A 20,342-nucleotide genomic window follows, 5' to 3' on the forward strand; every position below is an offset into this window, starting at 1 on the left:
CCATAAATTAGAAATAGTTAAGACATATTGTAAGCTCTGGAACAACCATTAAGAAAATGACTCAAAAATAGAGTTAAAAAATCATAAAAGGAATCAAAATGCCATAGTACAAAATGTTCACTTAATTGAAAACAGTAAAGTGGAAACAGAGGGACAAAAACGGCATGAGATATAGAAAAAAGTAAAATGGCTGATATAAATCCAATGATATCAATAATCTATTAAATGTGAATGAATTAAACAACCAAATAAAAAGGCAGAGATTATTAGCATGGATAAAACAACAATAACAACAACAACAACAACATCCAATTATATGCTCCATAGGAGACACGCTTTAGATTCAAAGTTACCATTAGATTGACAGTAAAAGGATGGAGAAAGATGTGTCATGCAGATGGCAACCTAAGAAAGCTGGAGTGGCACTCTTTATATCAAACAACAAAAAATGTAATTAGGATTAAACAGGGACATATTATAATGATAAAATGGTCAATCAACCAAAGAGATATAACAATTATAAACATAGTAATACACATATATTTATACAAGCACATAATATCGGAGACCCAAATACATGAATCAAAAACTGACAATCTAGAAGGAAGACATAGACAATTTAACAAAAATAGCTCGATGTGTCAATAACCCACTTTTAATAATGAAGAGAACAATTAGTCATAAGATTATCAAGGATATGGAACAACTAAACAACCATGTAAACCAACTAGACCCAATGGACTCCTGGAGAACACTTTACCCAATAACACAGAACACACATTCTTCTCCAGCACACATGGAACATTGTACAGGACAAAAGTCTATATTTGAGGCCATAAAAGAAGCCTTAACCCATTTAAAAGGACTGAAATTATACAAAATGTTTTCTTTGACCCCAATGGAATGAAATTTGAAATCAAGGACAAGATAAATTTGGGAAATTTATAAATATGTGGACATTAAGCAACACACTCTTAAATAACAAATGGCTCAAAGAAGAAATCACATGAGAAATTAGATAATATTTTGAGATTAAGGAAAATGAAGACACAACATACCCACACTTATGGAAGGCAGCCAGGGCAATGCTCAGAGGGAATATGTAGCTGTAAATGTGTCTATTAAAAAAAAAACAGACCTCGAGTCGGTAACCTGAACTACCTATCAACATGGACGAAGAAGAGTTTAACTAAACTTTAAGCAACAGCCTTGCTTGGACCTTTCCCCTTCTTTCCCTTAGTACCTTAAGTTTCTTCCCCGGAAGAACATTTGCTCAGTATATCACATGCACTTGAACTGGTATCAGGCTCCGCTTCTAGTGAACCATATCTGACAACCACACACTAGCTGTGTGATCTTAGGTAAGACACTAATGTCTCTGTATATTGAAAATAATGTGTGTTTTGCCTACCTTGTATAGTGCCCTAAAAACAGTGGCTTGTTATTCAGAAGAATGTTACAGTGAGGTGGGCTTTACCACCCAAGCACCTGTGAAACCAAGAACAAGTAACTTTCCTGAACCTTTCTTTTTTCCCTATTGAGGGATGTGCAGACAAGACAGACTACAGGGAACTCTGTCTTTCGAATAACATGCTGCCTGGATGTGGGAGCAGACGCTTCCCAATCTGCCCCTCTCTGGCTGCCTCCTACTGGAGAATTCTCCTGGCTTAGCTATTTTACGGATAAAATGAGAGCGATGACAACCACCTTCCATGGCTATGAAAATGATTCCATAATAGCATGTGTACAAGTTTTGTAAAAAAAAAAAATGGCCTGGAGCGGTGGCTCACGCCTTTAATCCCAGCACTTTGGGAGGCCGAGGCAGGCGGATCACGAGGTCAGGAGATCGAGACTATCCTGGCTGACACAGTGAAACCCCATCTCTACTAAAAATACAAAAAATTAGCCGAGCATGGTGGCGGGCGCCTGTAGTCCCAGCTACTTAGGAGGCTGAGGCAGGAGAATCACTTGAACCCAGGAGGCAGAGGTTGCAGTGAGCTGAGATTGCTCCACTGCACTCCAGCCTGGGCGACAGAGCAAGACTCTGCCTCAAAAGAAAGAAAGAAAGAAAGAAAGAAAAGAAAAAGAAAGAAAGAACGAAAGAAAGAAAAGAAAAGAAAAGAAAAAGAAAGAAAGAAAGGCAGATAGTTAAATTATTCAACAAATATTGGATAGTACTAACCGATTACGTGTGTGCCATCTATGTGCTTGAAAGGAAAACCCTGTGTGGTTACAGGTCCTGTCATTGTCCCATTTTACAGAAAAGGAAGCATTCATGGGTGTCTCGTCAGTCTCTGTGGACGTAGGTGTGAAGTTTGAGAAAGTCTCGGCCTTCCCGGTACTCACAGTGCACTTGAGGGCTGGTCCTTACTATTTGTGGCTGCTAGGACATGGTAGGGGCAAGTTCCCAGAGAAGCCAGGTCCAAAGGGGATGCTCAGCTCAGCCAGTGACCTGAGTCAGAAGTGCCCTCAGAGGTTGGTCCCTTCAGGAAGGACGTGTCTACCCTCCAGCCCCTCCGTGGTCTCAGTGGGCACCAGATCTGCTGTGATGAGAACAGCCTGAGGGAACCACTCTGGATACCCCATGCTCCCGTTCTGACTCCCTCCCTCATTAAGACAGCAGGCGGGAGTGCTCTGTTAGGATGGAGGCTCAGACAGAATCAGAGAGTGCTTCATGGAGAGCAAACAGTGCTTTCTGTTAACATTGAAAAATAGCCGACTGCTGTGACATCACTGCACACTCACAATTACACGCAGAGACTTATCTGTGGGGCTCTGAGAAGCAAAGTCAGATCATGGTTAAGAAGTTTAAAACTCATGTCTCCAATCCCTAGGAGATGCTTCTTATCTCTGTTTGAAATTGACATTTAAAAGTTAATAGTTATGTTATTTAAATGAAATTCCATAGTTAATTTCCATACTGTCATGAAGACAGGCTTTGCAATAAAAAGTTTCTGTAAATGGCAAGCCTAAATAAGCTGCAAAGATGAAGAAGATATTAAAAATAAAATTATATTTTGTGTCATTTCAAGGGCTTTTACTGTATAAATCCATATTTAATCATCAATATAAGCCCAGAGACTCATATAAGGCTATCTTTAACTGTGTTTTGCAGATGTAGAAGCTGAGGTGTGGAGAAGAAAAGCTACTTCCTAACATCACAGACTGGAAGCACCCAGGTCAGAATTGGAGCCAGAATGGTCTGACCCAGTCTTCTCTCTTACAGCTCACCACTGTCTCGTATTGTCTTTTAAAAATAATACTGGTTTGAGAGGAGAAGATTGATTATTTATGTGTAAAGTAGTCACCCCATGGCCCAGGATGGTCTTATTTTGTCAAAAATATGAACAGCAATTCCACTGTGCAGCGCACCAGTCTTGAGAATTGTTAACAAAACAATAAACTATTGAATCATCACAACTAAAAAAAAATAAAAATAAAAATAAAATAATACTGTGTATCAGTCTAAGGCCCAGCACGGTGGCTCATGCCTGTAATCCCAGCACTTTAGGAGGCCGAGGTGGGCGGATCACCTGAGGTCAGGAGTTTCAGACCAGCCTGACCAACATGGTGAAACCCCATCTCTACTAAAAATACAAAATTAGCTGGGTGTGGTGGTGCACGCCTGTAGTCCCAGCTACTCGGGAGGCTGAGGCAGGAGAATCGCTTGAAACTGGGAGGTGGAGGTTGCAGTGAGCTGAGTCCATGCCATTGCACTCCAGCCTGGGTAACAAGAGTGAAACTCCATCTCAAAAAAAAAAAGAGAAAAAAGAAAAAAAATACTATGTATCAGTCTATAAAATGCTTAAAGTCTTTCTATTTCATTTACTGGATGAAGGGACTACATTTTACTTGCTCTTGTTTTTCAGGGCTTCTAATGTGCCCTATGGCTAAAAGTCCAAAATTTTCAAAGAATTACCATGGAAACTCTCAATTTTTGGTCTCTAATATATTGAAATTTAATACAGACATCATTTCTGAGTCTCTCATCATTTTTGAAATAAATGCTCAAAGCATGCCCCCAGCCTCACAAGGAGCCAGAGGGTTGTGGGAAGAACAGGTTGTGACTTAGCACAGTTTAGCAGCATGATCTATTGAGAGAAAAAGGCCCTTCTACAAGGAGGGCCAGGGGACTGGGTGGAGGTGGGGAAAGGGGAAGAGAGGGGAGGGAGGGAAGGGAGGAGGAAGGGGAGGGAAGCCACAATCACTGATGAAAATGCACTTTCCACCAGAGGGCGATATTTTTGAAAGCTTTGATTTGGTTGCACATGGTACAAAAATGCAGTCATGATAAGCAAAACTAAAATATGTTCCTTTTATACTACAAATTTATACAGCAGTGAGTAAGAAAGATTGAATAAAGATGAAAAAAGAGTTAGAAATACTTCCTCCTAATAAGGCTGAGGGAATTTACAACTATGTCAACAGGGCAAATCTACAAAGGATAGCTTAGGAAGAAATGGACTGAAATTTGAGAAGAAAATGAGTTGAGCATACCAGGAGATTCAATTTCCAGGCCCTTGCAAAACGACAGACTGAAGATGAGCATCAGCCCTAAGAGGATCCCCGTGTAGGAGGCCTCTGTGAGTGTGCATGTCTGCCCGACAGACGCCACAATCCCAGGAGCAACATTATAAACTGAAATAACGTGAAGTTCTTCTTTACTTAAAGAATGTGGAGGGATTTGAATATCATATGTTACAAAACTGGATTTTGCCACAAATGATGATGCACTGCCCACGTAATTTCAATGCCCACTGAAGGAGAACAGTGGCTTTGCCATGAGCAGTCCATAAACTGCCAATGACAGCTGGCCAGGTGTTGGGATGTGCCTGTTATACAAATGTGCATGAGACAGAAGCAGATAAAATGGCGAATGAAAGAAATCCTACTACTAAGGAAAGAAAAGGAAAGTAAATGGGAACCATCAGATAGCTTTAGTTAGACATTCATCGAGAAAATAAAGGAAACAATTTTTCCTAAGTGCCAATGGTAACAATAAGAACGCTAGGAAACCTCTCAGTTTTCACAGGTTGCATCTTAGGTGTCTTCAGAGGATATGGCAGTTGTATGGACGTGCACAAGCTACTTACCTCAATTCCTATTTCAAATCCTCCACCAAGGCCAGCTATCCCAATGGCTGAGGGTGCAGACCATTCTAATAAAAAAACAAACGAACGTTATCCTAACATTAAAACACCCTCGACATGTAAATATAGGAAGGAAAAATGCTAAAATCTAAAGAGTGCTTCTATTGAAAATAATGAGACTTGGTATTTCCCCTGATTTTAAAGTGATCTTCAAAAAGAATATGTAATTTTTAAAAAGTTAAAAATATTTTTAAAGTATTAGATATTCATTATGAGTCTCATAGCCTCACAAGCCCATGTCCTCTAATCTTTCTCTACCAACATGCATAAGACCACCAACTACTGGTTCCCTAACCATTAGCCATACAGAGCACTTGGTAACTTCAACTGTCAATATTTTTATAGAACAACTTAGCTGTAGGTCTAGTCTTCAGCTAGAATTTTGTCACAGATTTAAGAGATCAGAAGGATTCGAGAGAGTTGATTATCTAACGGTAACATAATAATTGTTTCCATTGTAAATTTCTGAGGGCAAAAACTGTTTTAACACCTCTCGTGCTTAAGCAGAATAAATAGGCTATAAATTCAAGGTTATTAAAATTCTAACAAGATAAATCACATTTAGAAACTAAGTACAGTAATTCCATTTGCCATGATACGGCACATTTTAGGATTACTATATGCTTATTTTTCTTGATATAGAAACTCATGTTAAACAAGTCTAGAAAAATGTATTTTCAATTTGGTGGGGGGATGGTCTGGCCAAAGCACTTTTTGAAAATGGTTGCTACCATGCATGCTAGATACTAGAATATTGCTGAAATATATCCAGAACTATCCTACCCAGGCTTAGAGAAGTTTGGCTTACAGAAATTAGTGTCTGATAATTTTTCGTTCCCTATGTTAGGAACTGTCCCTGTGTTAAGATGGCTGGTCTTGGCCAGGATCCTGGGGAACATGTTGTGTCTTATTTGGACAGTTTTTAAATTACTCTCAGCAGAGTCAGCAGCTGCAGCTCAGGAAGAAGGGAGAGAAATGTAGGTTTTAAAACCAGTAGAAAGGTTTGCTGGGGCTCTGAGAGGAGCCCAGGGCTTGGTATTGACTGTCCCTACCCTTGGTCAGCAAGTCACCCCATCAATGGAGCAGTTGGGGACCTGAGACATGCAGGGACTTTCTCACAGACTCTGAGTCCCATCTGACAATGGGCTCCCTTGGAATGTGCCTCTACTTTGTTTGGTTTTACTGCTGAGAAGTCTGCTCATGGAAATTTGGATAATGCTTGAGAAAAAGAGAATTATTTTCTTCTCATTTTCAAAGCCACACATTGAGCTATGAAAACTGATCCACATAATAAGGAAGAGGTTTTTGTTGACTGCGGGGATACCTTGGTAAGAAATGGTGAATCTGCTGACTGCTATTTCAAGGCCATATATTTCACAAATGTATATATTGTATATTTATTGTCTGTAAGTGTCCCATGCTCTCTCAAAATAAAATAAAATTATGCTAAAAAACTGCTACTAATAGAAAAACGTGTTCACTGAACAGCAAATGTTAAATTGGTATAAAAAACATTTTAGTTAGTTTTGACACACCTGTGTCCATTTTAAATACTACTATAAATGTTAGTACTTGGGATTCATGGCAAATATTTTGATTTCATCTCTAAAGAATCAAGTAGTAGATTTCATCCCAGAAAGTAAAACTCGATGATACTGCTCTTGATATGATTCTGCCTTGGGGAAAACTCTTCAAATGTCACAGTTTTTATGATCTACCACAGAAACAAAGAAATTCACATATGGCCCCTTATTTTCATATCAATTTCCATAAAACAAAAGAAAGCAGCTACACCATGAAGTTGAGGAATAAGAATTCATATTAAACAAAAGAAATGCACATACTGCCATGTTTCAATATTTGCTCCACGGAAGAATTACAAAATGCATGCAAAACAAAGTTATATCTACCTGTCTTGTCTTCTCTAATATTTTGAGGACAGAGAGAGACGGAAAGGCTGGTTCCTGTGGCTTGTTCACTGACACCAAACTGCACGTTCAGTCGAGTAGCCCTTATTACATAAGTTTTAGTTGATATGCAGGAAACCTGTCCTACTCGCTATGCAATGTGTTCACATGAAAACAGACAGAACAAAGAATGAAGACTCTCTACTCCAGTGAACAGACGCCAACTTACTTCCATCTGGAAGGCGCGCCACTACAATCCCGCTGCCTCCTCTGGCAGTCACCAGGAACCCGGCTTTGATCACAGACAGAATTGCAAGGCCTTTAGCCTTCGCAATTACGTGAGCTGTTAACGTGGAAAACAATGGGAAGGTAAGCATTTTGATCTATGTGCCTGGATAGACGAGCAAGTGTTAAACAGAGTCAGTGTACACAGAGGTTATCTCTAGGAATTCGGGGCACACAGGAGCAATGAACAAAAGTCAGTCACTCAACAGATGGGCACGAGGCCTCTCTATTCCCATGAATGTTTTTTGTGTTTGCTATTTTTGCAGTGCTAAACACAACATCATAAATATCCTCACATCCTGTAACTGACAAAATAAATTAGATATTTGAAAGAGATTTTATTGCTATCTATTAGCAGGGCAAATATTTTGGCAATTTCAATTAATTTAGGATATAGTACATAAAAGATAAAAGCTACATTTTCAAAGAAATTAAGATCCATATAGTATTAAGGAGAAACTTTAAAAATTACAAAAAGGCAGCATGAATTAGAACTTTGATCTTAAAGCCACGTAGCTAAATTAACCTTGTATTAATATAAAAATTTGGATTCAAAAACAGAAAAATTAAGTAATTTTCCAATGTTAAAACATTTTCAACTTTATAAAATGATCTGCTATAGCATTTGAGTACCACTTAACTATTAGTACACTGATAATATAATTCCATTTAAAAATATTGGTTTATTCACATGTCAGAGATGTTCATTACATAAAATGAGGGTTATTGGTATATGTATCCACTGAATATAGTGCCACACGATTCTGTGAATTTACGACACAATAACACCTCATTCAAACTAACGAGGGAAGCCTAACATATAACTTTAAGGTAGTTTAACTTATTATTATTTTTATCAAATATTCTGCCAAGGAAGTGAAGTCAGACATGGGGCTCTAGTACACAGAGCAAAAGCTTTGCAGATGACCCAAGAGAACACTAAAATTCTCATGTAATTATGCCACCATTTCAAAGTTTAAATTAAGAACCGACTCTTGGAAATAATTCATCCAACACCATGAAGTTTGCATGCAGAACATTTGTGGAGCTGTTCTTAATAAGAAAGCTACAGAAAATAAGGTTGCATCCTGGATGGCTGTCTACTAAGTGTACTTTATTTTTGTATTTTAAAAGGTTATAATTATATTGTAACAAGATTGAAAGCTGTATTATATGTTGTGCAGATTTATTTTTACAGCCACCTGTTGGCAGAATGTCTTCCTCACATTCTGTTCTCGATGCTTCTAGAGTTGCTATTGCCCCTATTGGGAATATTAGATATTAACAAAAGCACATTTTAAAATGGACATATTCCACATGTCAATTATATTTTTACAGATTTCCACTCAAATTCAGGGACACTAACATATTAATAATCCCTGAATAATCTGCCAATTAGCTTTTGATTTATAACATAGAATGTACCAATTATAGATTTAATTGCTAAATTAAGTTTCACCTACTTCTTAGAATCCTAACATTAGAGGAGGCCAAACACACCACTGGGAAGGTTTTAAGATCTAGATGTCTTGTTTAAATATTTTGTAGATGCAACTGTTTATCCTATGAAATAGCATCTTTGTTTTAATGTAAACATAATGCCCCCCACCAGACTCCCAGGAGAAGTGGGCCTGGATCTCTGTTGGCTGTGGAACTTCCATCGTTGCCACACCCATGCTTTGGGGCAATCTCTTACTTAGACTAACATGCAAACAGAATTTCTTTTTCTGAGCTTCACCCACTGAGACGGGCTCCTTCAGAATACTGATACTGAAAATCTAGTTTTTCTTGTTGAGTTTTCTTTAAGCTCTAAAGCAGCGCTTCTGAAACTAGTGTGTGTGTGCACCTCACTGGGACCTTGGGAGGAATGCAGACTGATTTGTGACGTCTGAGCAGATTTCTCACAAGCTCCCAGGGGATGCCAAGCTGCAGATTCAGACTATACCTGGAGCAGTAAGGCTCTAACAAGCACCGTTTCCTCAAGACAGGAGAAGTCACCGGGCCAATGCAACAACAATTAATATCATGATTAAGATTATTAAAACAACAACAAATTTTTAAAGCATTAAAGTTCTATTAAATAACTTTAGATATCTGGCTTAGAAAAATTAACTTTATCTCTTTAATGCAGGACCCAGAGTCATGCACTCTGATTAACTAAGAGGGAGGCTGGTCTGTAACACTGTCCAGGCTAACTGGCATGAGACAAGTATGCTATGAACACCCTTTGGAAATAACTAGAAGTGGTGATGAACAGATAGTGGTTTTCAAAGGCTCCCCTCTGGACTGATCTTATGTGTCACTGACTACTTAAGAATTACATGAGAAACATGTTTAAAACATGCATTCCTGGACACACTGCACTAAAAGTCTGATTCAGCAGGTTTGGAGTGAGGTTTAAGAACTGTGCCTTTATGGTCTAGGGGATACTGATGCACATCTGTGTTAGGAATTACTGATTAATGTCTTAAACCGCTAGAGAATGTAAATGTCTTATGTGGAAGGAGGAAACACAAAATTAAAATTTATGTATGAGATTAGCTGGTGAGTTTGCGAGGTTAGCTTGCAGAGTTCTTAGCACGCGATGCAAAGGACAGGCGAGGCTGCAGAGAGCTCAAGTGGAGCAGGAACATGTGGTGTTTAGGGCGCTGGCACCCTGGGATGGGAGGCAGGAGAAAAAGCCTATGCAAAAGGGAGAGACAGGGAGGGAAGAGGCCCTGCTGGTTTGCCTGGTCTGCAGCTGGCCCTGTCCAGACCCCTTCCACCTGGAGTAGCAAGGCCTTATGATGACTGTTTTCTCATGATGGGAGAAGTGGCAGGAATGCAACAATAATTAATATCATTATTTTATCATTATTAAGATTATTCTATCAATAACAAATTTTTAAAACAGAGCTCAGAGTCACGTGCTGTGATTAATTAAGAGGGAGGTTGGTCTGTAACATTGCCAAAGTTAATTGGCATTTGGATCTCCTTTGCATGAAACAAGTTATGCTGTGAACACCCTTTGGAAATAACCAGAAGTTGTAATGAACAGGTAGTAGTTTCCAAAGCATCCCTGGATCAGTCATGAGAAAAAAGGTGGTGGAACAAAAGGTGGCTGAACTACTTGTTGGCATTGATGGAGGCTTCTGCCTGAAATGGAGTGTCGAACAATGCAAAAAACAACTTAGGAAAAAGACATTTAGAGACAAACAGCACTCATCCTATTTACCTACCAGGAATGATCTTATCAGGTCCATTTCTGGAAGTTATTTCTGTGAATTCTCTTAATATTTTGGCAGCCTTTTTTGCTTCTGATTTCAAATTGGAAGGTATAGGGTTATTCACTGAAACATAACAAAAGATATTTTAATGAAAAATTCTGCTAAATAGAAGTGAGAAATTTATTATTATTTCATTCTTCTCATATACAATTGTCAGAGGTGTTCAAACCAGAGGGACTCCATTTTGAATAGGAGCTGGGTGAAATAAGGCTGAGACCTACTGGGCTGCATTCCCAGAAGGTTAGGCATTCCAAGTCACAGGATGAGACAGGAGGTCCGCACAAGATACAGGTAACGAAGACCTTGCTGATAAAACAGCATGCAGTAAAGGAGCTGGCCAAATCCACCAAAACCAAGAAGGCAATGAACGTGACCTCTGGTCATCTTCACTGCTCATTATACACTAATTCTAATGCGTTAGCTGCCAAAAGACACTCCCACCAGCGCCATGACAGTTTACAAATGCCATGGCAACATCAGGAAGTTACCCTATATGGTCTAAAAAGGAGAGGACCTCTCAGTTCCGGGAATTGCCCACCCCTTTTCCAGAAAACTCACGAATAATCCACTCCGTGTTTAGCATATAATTGAAAAACAATTGTAAGTATCCTTAGTTGAGCAGCCCATGCCACTACTCCACCTATTGAGTAGCCCTTCTTTATTCCTTTACTTTCTTAATAAACTTGCTTTTACTTTATGGACTTGCCCTGAGTTCTTTCTAGCACCAGGTCCAAGAACCCTTTCTTGGGGTCTGGATCGGGACCCCTTTTTGGTAACACAATGAAGCATTACCACAGCATAGCCTATCAAAGGAAATGACTGGAAATCCTCATTGACAGTATCATCTCTATTTCTCCTAATAAATCAAATCTATGCTGAGAGTCAGAAACTCTAAACTCTCATCTCAGAAATTATAAAATCCTTGGGCCCCAAAGGATGTTAAACAAAACCTGGCCAAACCTCCCTGTTATGTATCTTCTTCCTGCAATTAACAGACTTCAATACTAATTTAAAATAAGAATTTAAAATTTAAAAATATATTTTGTAACTATCTATAATATATAGTATAAATTTAATATATTTTGTTGTTCTTGCCAAAAATGTTGGAACTGGCTGCCTGTAGACTTTCTGATGAGTAAAACTCTAGGAAGACTTGGGAATTGAGCCTACAAGTAACGCCGGCCTGCATTTCTATGGCACTTTACGTTTACAGTGTTGCCTGGACATTCATACACTCATCAGAGGGCTTGTCATAACAAAGCTCACATAATTCTTCCAGCTCTGAAGTATATCGAGAAGATAGACTATTCTCTTGTTACTGGACGAGGGATCAGCAGAGCGAAGAAGCTGAATAGCTTCAGTGTAGGACCACAAGTGCCCTGAGGCTGAGAAGTTCTTGTCTCACTGTCTACAATTAGGAGGCACATGCGTGACTGACTGCAGGATGCCAGGATCTGGAAGGTTGAAGGCATTCATTTCCACTGTTTCGCCTCAGTAATTTACAGAACAGAGATGAAGTACGCTAATGGAAGCTTGCTTTTGTAAAAGGAAAATAAATCTCAGGACCCCAGAATCACTGAGCCAAGGGAAAAGTCAAGCTGGGAACTCTGTGAGGCAAACCTGCCTCCCATTTTATTCCTAAAAAGATAGCTACAAAGGTAAGAAGCTACACACCTCCCTCACAATTTGATCACAAGGAAATTCCCTGTGGACAACAGATGGAACTCAGACTCATCCCTCTGCTCACGTGAGACAAATGCATATCTGATTGTTTCCTTTGCCCTGTTGTTTCACTAAGCCAGACTACAGCCTAAGTGACTATTCCTGTAAATCACAAAGGCTAATCAGACACTCAAAAGAATGCAACTGTTTGTCTTCTATCTATTTATGATCAGGAAGCCCCCTACCCACTTCAAGTTGTCCCGCCTTTCTGGATCTAATCAATCTTACATATATTGATTGATGTCTCATGTCTCCCTAAAATTTATAAAACCAAACTATACTCAAATCGCCTTGAGCACGTCATCAGGACCTCCTGAGGCTGTGTCATGGGCTGTCCTTAACCTTGACAAAATAAACTTTTAAAATTGATTAAAACCTGTGTCAGAGCTCATGTATAAACTCATGGTTTATTCTTTCGACAGATCAAATGCTGAAACAGCAGAGAAAAAAATCCCTTTCTTTTATTCAGCAAAATATAAATATCTCCAATAAAATGTGATATATTTTGGTGCCTGGAATGTTTGAAACATGTAATTTATCTTAAAAGTGAAAACTGGCTGGGTACTCCCAGCACTTTGGGAGGCCAAGGGAGGAGGATCACTTGAGGCCAGGAGTTCGAGACCAGCCTGGGCAACATAGTGAGACCCCCATCTCTACCAATAAAATGATTTAAAAAATTAGCCAGTCATGGTCCTTGCTGAAGTCCTTGCTACCCAGGAGGCGGAGGCAGGAAGATCACTTGAACTCAGGAGATCAAGGCTGCAGTGAGCTATGACTGGGCTACTGCACTCCAGCCTGGGCAACAGGGCAAAGCCCTGCCTCAAAATAAAATAAAATTTTAAAAAGTGAAAACTGACTTAGGGTCATTTTGGAGTTCTATTTAAATTTCTTTAAAAGATGTCAGTATCAGTTCTTTGTGGCTCAACACAGGAGTATTAACAAGATCCAGACCAGGAAAAAAATCCATCCCAAGATTCATCAATGGTATTAAGTCAGATAGAGGAAGGTATTTCCACAGATACTTTATGCAAAATTAAGTGTGCATGATGCATGTGTGTAGCTCTTTACTCCTTTTAAAAACAAGTGGCATCACAGCATTAGTGTATTTTGGCATGTTGCATTTTTTAATCAATGTTATCTCAGAATAGTTAAAATACTGCCTCTCAGTGTAGGCTTTTCAAATCAACTTCATGAGATACAATTTACAAAATGAAATCTACCTGTTACAGGTATAGCTCAGTGTGCATGGACAGAGGTAGAGACCACTCCTGATCACAGCATCCGTGCCCTCTGTAGTGGTCACTCCTATACCCAGCCCCTGCCTCAGGTTAGTGCCAATCTGATTTCTGTCATTAAGTATGAATTTTGTCTGTGCCAGAACTTCATATAGTCATCAGTGTGTGTTCTTTTCTGTCTAGCTTATTTTACTCACCATGAAATTACTGAGACTCAAATTGCTGCACAGATCAGCTCTTCCTTTTTGACTGCCAACTGGTATTCTAATGTGTGGACATAGCACAATTTGTCCTTCCAGTCACTGTTGATAGACAATTGGGTTGTTTCCAGCTTTTGGCTATTACAAATAAAACTGCTATAAATATTCCTTTGTAAGCCTTTTGTAAAAAAATGTTTTATGGCCGGACACGGTGGCTCACACCTGTAATCCCAGCAATTTGGGAGGCCGAGGTGGGGGGATCACCTGAGGTCAGGAGTTCAAGACCAGCCTGGCTAACATGGTGAAACCCCATTTCTACTAAAAATACAAAAAATTAGCCAGATGTGGTGACGTGCGCCTGTAATCCCAGCTACTCAGGAGCCTGAGGCAGGAGAATCACTTGAACCTGGAAGGTGGAGGTTGCAGTGAGCCGAGATGGCGCCATTGCACTCCAGCTTGGGCAGCAAGAACGAAACTCCATCTCAAAAAAAAGAAAAAGAAAAAATGTTTTATTTCTCTTGGGTAATTACCTAGGATAGGAATTGCCAGTTCATGTGGTAAATGTGTATTTAACAATGTAAGGAGCCACCTAAGAGTTCTCTAAAGTGATTACACATTTCAGGCTTCCACCAGAAACTTTTATAAGAGTTCTGGTTATTCCATATCCTCACCAACACTTGCAATGTCCAGTTTTTAAAATTTTAGTTATTTTAGTGGTACACAGTGGCCTTTCACTGTGGATTTAATTTTCGTTTCTCAGATGACTAATGATGTTGAACACTTTTTCCTATTTCTATATCTTGTAAAGTGTCTGCTTAAATCTTTTGTCCACGTCCTTTAACCACTTATTATTATTATTATACTTTAACGGAGTTGTTTTTTTGCTTGTTAATTTGTTTAAATTTCTTATAGATTCTGAATATTAGGCCTTTGTTGGATGTAGAGCTTACAAATATTTTCTTCTATTCTGTAGGTTGTTTTCTCTGTTGATAGTTTCTTTTGCTGTTCAGAAGCTCTTTAGTTTAAGTAGGTCCCATTTGTCAATTTTTGTTTTTGTTGTAATTGCTTTTGGCATCTTTATCATAAAATCTTTGCCAGCGATTATGTCCACAATGGAATTTCCTAGCTTATCTTCCAGAGTTTTTACAGCTTTAGGTTTTACATTGTTAAAACAGGCTAAATGTGACCTGAGAAGAACTCCATACTTCAATATTTGAGTCCTTGTAGATGAACTGCCACCTAACTTAATATGTAGACAAGATTGAGAACTTAACTTAGGAGTATGCATCTGTAACAATAGCTCAGTCTTGGCCAATCCCAGCAGCCATACTTCAACCACTCATACACTGCTAAGTGTTCACATAAGGAAAATGATGAGCTGTAACCAATCCAGTTGTTTCTGTACTTCATTTCTGATTTCTGTACGTCACTTCCCCTTTTTTGGTCTATAAATTTGTTCTGACCACGAGGCATCCCTGGAGTCTCTCTGAATCTGCTGTGATTCTGGGGGCTGCCCGACTTGCATATCATTCATTGCTCAATTAAACTCCTTAAAATTTAATTTGGCTTAAGTTTTTAACAACATTCAAGTCTTTAATCCATCTTGAATTGTTTTTTTGCATATGGTATAAGGAAGGGGTCCTGTTTCAGTCTTCTGTGTATGGCTGGCCAGGTATTCCAGCACCATTTATTGAATATGGAGTCCTTTCCCCATTGCTTATTTTTGTTGACTTTGTCAAATATCAGATGATTGTAGCTGTGTAGCATGAATTCTGGGCTCTCGATTCTGTTCATTGTTCTATGAGTCTGTTTTTGTACCATTACCATGCTGTTTTCATTACTGTAGCTTTGTAGTATAGTTTGAAGTCGGGTAGCATGATTCCTCCAGCTGTTCTTTTTGCTTAGGATTGCCTTGGCTATTTGGGCTCTTTCTTGGTTCCATATGAATTTTAAAATAGTTTTGTTTTCTAATTCTGTGAAGAATGATATTGGTAGTATAATAGGAATAGTATTGAATCTATAAATTGCTCTAGGCAGTATGGCAATTTTAATAATGTTGATTCTTCCTATCCTTGAACAAGGAATGTTTTTCCATGTTTGTGCCATCTCTGATTTCTTTCAGCAGTGCTTTGTAATTCTTGTTGTAGAGATCTTTCACCTCCTTGGTTAGCTGTATTCTTAGGTATTTTATTCTTTTTGTGTAAAATAGGTGTTTTAAATTGTATAATCTGCCATTTCTCGATCTGTTTTTGACTGATTCTTCTTCCAGCTATGGGTTATGTTTTCCTGTTTTTACTCCTTTCTAGTAAAACAGGATTGTAGATATTACCATGTTGAGTGCCTAGATTTCATTGCTTCCCTTAAAAGTGTTAACACTTGTGTTAGCAGGCAGTGAGTTACTTGTAGATCAGCTTGATCACTTGTTGGCTTGTTGTTGTGTTCTGTTTGTGTGTCTAGAGTAGCCTTTAGAACTATTTTATCCATCAAGGTGTGTCCCTTCTGGGCTCTCTCCTGGGTGCCCTGGTTGTTTAATAAGCTGTCTCCATTGTGGCTGTTTCGAATGGCTGTCCCCAGCCTGATGCAAGCACTGTGAATAGTTCACCTCAAAGCTTCATGGCAGTTGTTCTTGCCTGCTTTGCAAATTTCACCCTACACAGCTAGCACTTAATATTCAGCAGAAGGCTCAGGGGGATCCCTCTGCAGATTTCTGGAGCTCTTTCTCTCAGCCGTCCCTCATTGCTAGTAACATGCTCTGCAAATTCCAGTTACCTCAGCCTCTTCAGACTCAATTTCTGCCTCTTCTTTTAAGCAGGAGCCTGGGCTCTGGGTGCCCCCTCCTTGTCCTGCAGTTTAGGAAGTGCTCCAGGCAGAAAACGGTCACTAATGGAGTTCACCTCCTGTTCCCCTTATCTTGTGGATCTCAGACATGTCCACCATGTGCAAAAAGTGCTCTACACACAGCTGTCCAGTTTCCTAGCTGTTTACCATGTGTGAGTAGCAGGAGCCATTTCGCTGCCCTGGCCAGTAGCTCTCAGTGCATTTTCCATTTGTTCTTTTATGATGAGCAATGCTGACCACATTTCACTCTCTCTATCAAAGGTTTCTCATGCACCTTGTTATTTACAGGGGGTTTCTCTCTGTTTCTTATTAATTTATACATTAAAAATTAATATTTTTTTGGAATATGAGTTAAAAACATTGACTCTCTGTTACTTGTCTTTTGAATTTGCTTTTTTTTCTGTTTTTTCTTAATGAAATCAAATCTGTCTTCTATCTTACAAGGGTCTTTTAATAAAACACAGTAATTTTGAAGTTCAAATGGGAAAATAAACAAGCAAGAAGAGCTAGGAAAAAATATGTAATAGGAGAACAATGACAGCCCAGCCTTGACAGAACCTGTGACACATTACAAAGCCTCAATAATTAATACATAATAGCAGATGCAAATATAGGAGAAAAATCAATTCACAAAGAAGAAAATTCAGAAATTAACCCAAATATATTTACAAATTTAGTATATAATAAAAATGACACCTCAATTCTATGTTGAAATGATGTATTGCATACTAGATAATGTTCATTTGGGGAGAAAAACAAAAATTCATTCACAGCTTTGTGTTACAGAAAGATAAACTCCAAATTCATTGAAGATTTAGAGTGTCAAATATCAAATTATAAAAGAACCAGGAATTATAGAATTTTTTTTCAATTTCATAGTGGAAAAGACCCAAGTATGGCAACAAAATTTCTATATTTCTATATTTTTACATGATCAGCAATTATTTGTACAACGTACAAATACATTGTAAAATACAGGAAAAAGTACAGATATGAAAATATGAAGGATAAAAAGCATCTATAACATTAATACTCACCAATACTACTGTCTGCATTTTGATGTATGCTTCAATTGATTCCTATTGCGAAACATGTAGACTGATTCCACTTTTAGCTTTTATAGCCATTACTATCAGGTGGTAATTATCTTGGGAGAGATGCTCTAGATGCTCAATATGTTTTAATTACATTTATACATATATCTAGATGCTGGATACATTTGAATTAGTTCACTGGAGTGGAAACTTGTTCTTTCTGCTGCTGAATATTTCATCTACTTTATTTCAGAGGCAGCACAACTTGTCTGCTTACATTGATGCTGCAGCCATAGTATCTGGAGTGGATTGGGTGACCCGAGGCTGCTGTATCAGGACGACATTCCTTTTGGTGCCACAGCAGGGCTTTATAACCAAAGCTGGTCCAATACCAGCATCTGATGGGGGACTTGTATAGGAGCTGCCAGAATAACTTTTTCCAAGGCACTTCTGTTTCCACTTGCTGTGGGATTTTTGTCTCCACAAGGGGAGAGTCTGAGAGCAAAGCCTTCATAGGGGAACCTGGCAGAAGGTGGAGAGAGCACCTGGGCTCTGCAAAGCCAGACTGAAGTCACAAGCCGCTCTGGACTTCTTCGTCAAATGGACCAGCAACATCTTTTTCTGTTAAAGCAATTTAGACTAGATTTTCTGATACATGCAACTGAAGCACTGTAAATAATACATGAATCTTATCCCCTCAGAAGACTTTCTACTTTGAACTCTCTCAACCAAGCAGTATTAGAGCAAATAAGCAAATTCCTCAGTTGAGAGTTAATCTTGCAAACATCCTGCTGTAGGGAAAGGTCATGGCCTGATCTGTAAACACGGGAAGAGAGCCATTGGACTTGGGAATCAGATGCAGCCTCACACGGCTGCAGACCGCAAGACTCATCCTAGACACAGCTTATGTCACTGTGATCCAGCTGTTGACAAGGCTGGTCACAGTGAGGACATCTTCAGTGTGTCAGCTGAACTACAGAAAATGTTACAGATTCTAATCAACTTCTGATAAAATCATGCGTGGTCATAGTTACATGCAGTGAATTTCTCTGTCAGAACAAAAAGAATATGCAAATAAAAATTTAGACATAAGCCTCAAATCCCATCCTCAGCATCAAATGATGGCTCACCCATTTTTCCTCTGCTGTACCATAAGGCATATAGAGCATGACCTGATCAGAGTGCTGATGTCCCATTCTATCATACTGATGAAGACACAGGTCATTACTAATGAAGCCTCTTAAACCTCACATCATGGTTAGCATCTGCACTCTCATAAACGTCTTAAGTCCCTTGAATCAGGCAAAATCTCTATAAATATTTAAGTTTTTTCTAAAAAAAGAGTGGCTGCCAAACCTCAAGCTAAGAAACTTTCAAATAAAGTTTTCTTTAAAACAAAAGTTAAAATGTTTTAAATTTTCATAGTAACACATTTTTTTTTTAAATTAGAAGGTCTTATAAAATACCGGAAAGACAATTTTTACTTTGGAAACCTCAAAAGCATAAATCAGCTTAAGATCTGGAAATAATTTTAGGTATTGATCGCAGTTCTATAAACTCAATGCTAGAGTCACTGGGGACAAACAGGGACATGAGAATCCTACTCGGAGTAAATTGCCACCTGAGGTGACAAAGCTGACTACGGTTTCCAATCTAGTTGTACACGGAGGGTCAGGAATGAAAGCAAGAAGACCCAAGGGCCCCTCTCCACCACTTTCCTTACCAGAGTTCAGATTCCCAAACTTTTGCTTCCCTTATATTATTTTCTTCAATGGACTCTAATTATGAAAGGAATACTTACAGGAAAGCAAGCTTACTAAATTTGGTTTTCCAAGTTCTTACTGATTACATATTAATCAAATTATTAAACCTTATACTTTATGTGAAATGGAGGTTAACTCATTAAACTGATAAAATTCCATCTAAGATCAAAGGAACTTGAATGCTGCTAAAGGTATATTTAGAATAAACTAAAGAAATCTTAGCCAAAAGAAAGTGTATGTATCTAATCTTTAGAGAGGCTTTCAAATGTTGCTTTAAGCTACTTTTATTAACAAAACTGCATTTTGAACTCCACTGCTTGACAACTATGGCCTTTGTTTCTTAAGTCAATTCTTACCTTTCTGGGGCCTTGGTTTAACTACTTCCTTTGTTTTAAGGACACAAAGCTTGTCAGTTCTCAAAATAAAAACCTGTCTCTCTGGTCAGATCATTAACTCCCTAGTCAAACTTTCAGACTACCGTCTGAACATCAAGTGCTAGCCTGAGCTTGTTTCCAGTCCCCCAACCCCAGGCTGTGGCTGGGGAAGGAAGAGGACAGCGAAAGCTTTCTCTGCTCCCTCGGGAGACAGGAAAGCCCTTTATTTATTCCTGCCCTTCCTCTTCTCCAACTGAAGAGTGTGATCTTGGTACAGAGCAGTTCCACACATGCCACACTGGTCTGATCTTTTAGAGTAAAAAATGGGATCTTCTCAGAGAAAATTTTTTTAAAAACTTCATGTGCTTAGGTCTCAGAGCAGAGAATTTTGTCTTATCATGACGCCACTCACTGGCAAACAAGCTGGCGTGCACAGGGACTTGTGAGGCTCTCAGCAGAGTCAGGGTAGCAGTTATTTCCCTTTGACTGCCTCAACTTCCTATGTTTGTGTTGACATGCCAGATCCTTATTTCTGCGGAATGAGAAATCTCTTGAGAATAAAGTTTTC

At 38.9% G+C, this 20,342-nt stretch overlaps 1 protein-coding gene across 9 annotated transcripts in view, besides 1 other annotated feature; it reads right to left on the bottom strand.

Annotated features, from left to right (window-relative positions):
• SH3YL1 (SH3 and SYLF domain containing 1) overlaps positions 1-20,342 on the bottom strand; it is a 46,689-nt gene that overhangs the window by 24,309 nt on the left and 2,038 nt on the right. For 3 of the 9 annotated variants that reach the window (NR_104225.1, NM_001159597.3, NM_015677.4), the window contains exons 2-4: positions 10,561-10,671; positions 7,287-7,400; positions 5,094-5,158 (exon numbers count right to left, since the gene is read on the bottom strand). Coding sequence is in view for 4 of the 9 variants with exons in the window: in NM_001159597.3 (NP_001153069.1) it covers positions 5,094-5,158; positions 7,287-7,400; positions 10,561-10,671 (290 nt within the window). In the remaining 5 variants the exon portion in view is untranslated. Of the gene's footprint in view, positions 1-353; positions 428-1,058; positions 1,119-5,093; positions 5,159-7,286; positions 7,401-10,560; positions 10,672-13,762; positions 13,897-17,640; positions 18,687-19,756 lie in introns of those variants that run through there. The other 6 variants (NR_104226.1, NR_104227.1, NM_001282687.2 and 3 more) reach the window with 6 other exon arrangements.
• Positions 10,731-10,931: a silencer, noted in NCBI's record as "peak3579 fragment used in MPRA reporter construct". NCBI's record gives its function as "represses an SCP1 promoter by STARR-seq MPRAs in K562 erythroleukemia cells {active_cell/tissue: K562}" and the evidence as "EXISTENCE:reporter gene assay evidence [ECO:0000049][PMID:32103011]".

Source organism: Homo sapiens, chromosome 2 (assembly GCF_000001405.40).
Source record: "Homo sapiens chromosome 2, GRCh38.p14 Primary Assembly".
In the NCBI taxonomy this organism is placed as follows: domain Eukaryota; kingdom Metazoa; phylum Chordata; class Mammalia; order Primates; family Hominidae; genus Homo; species Homo sapiens.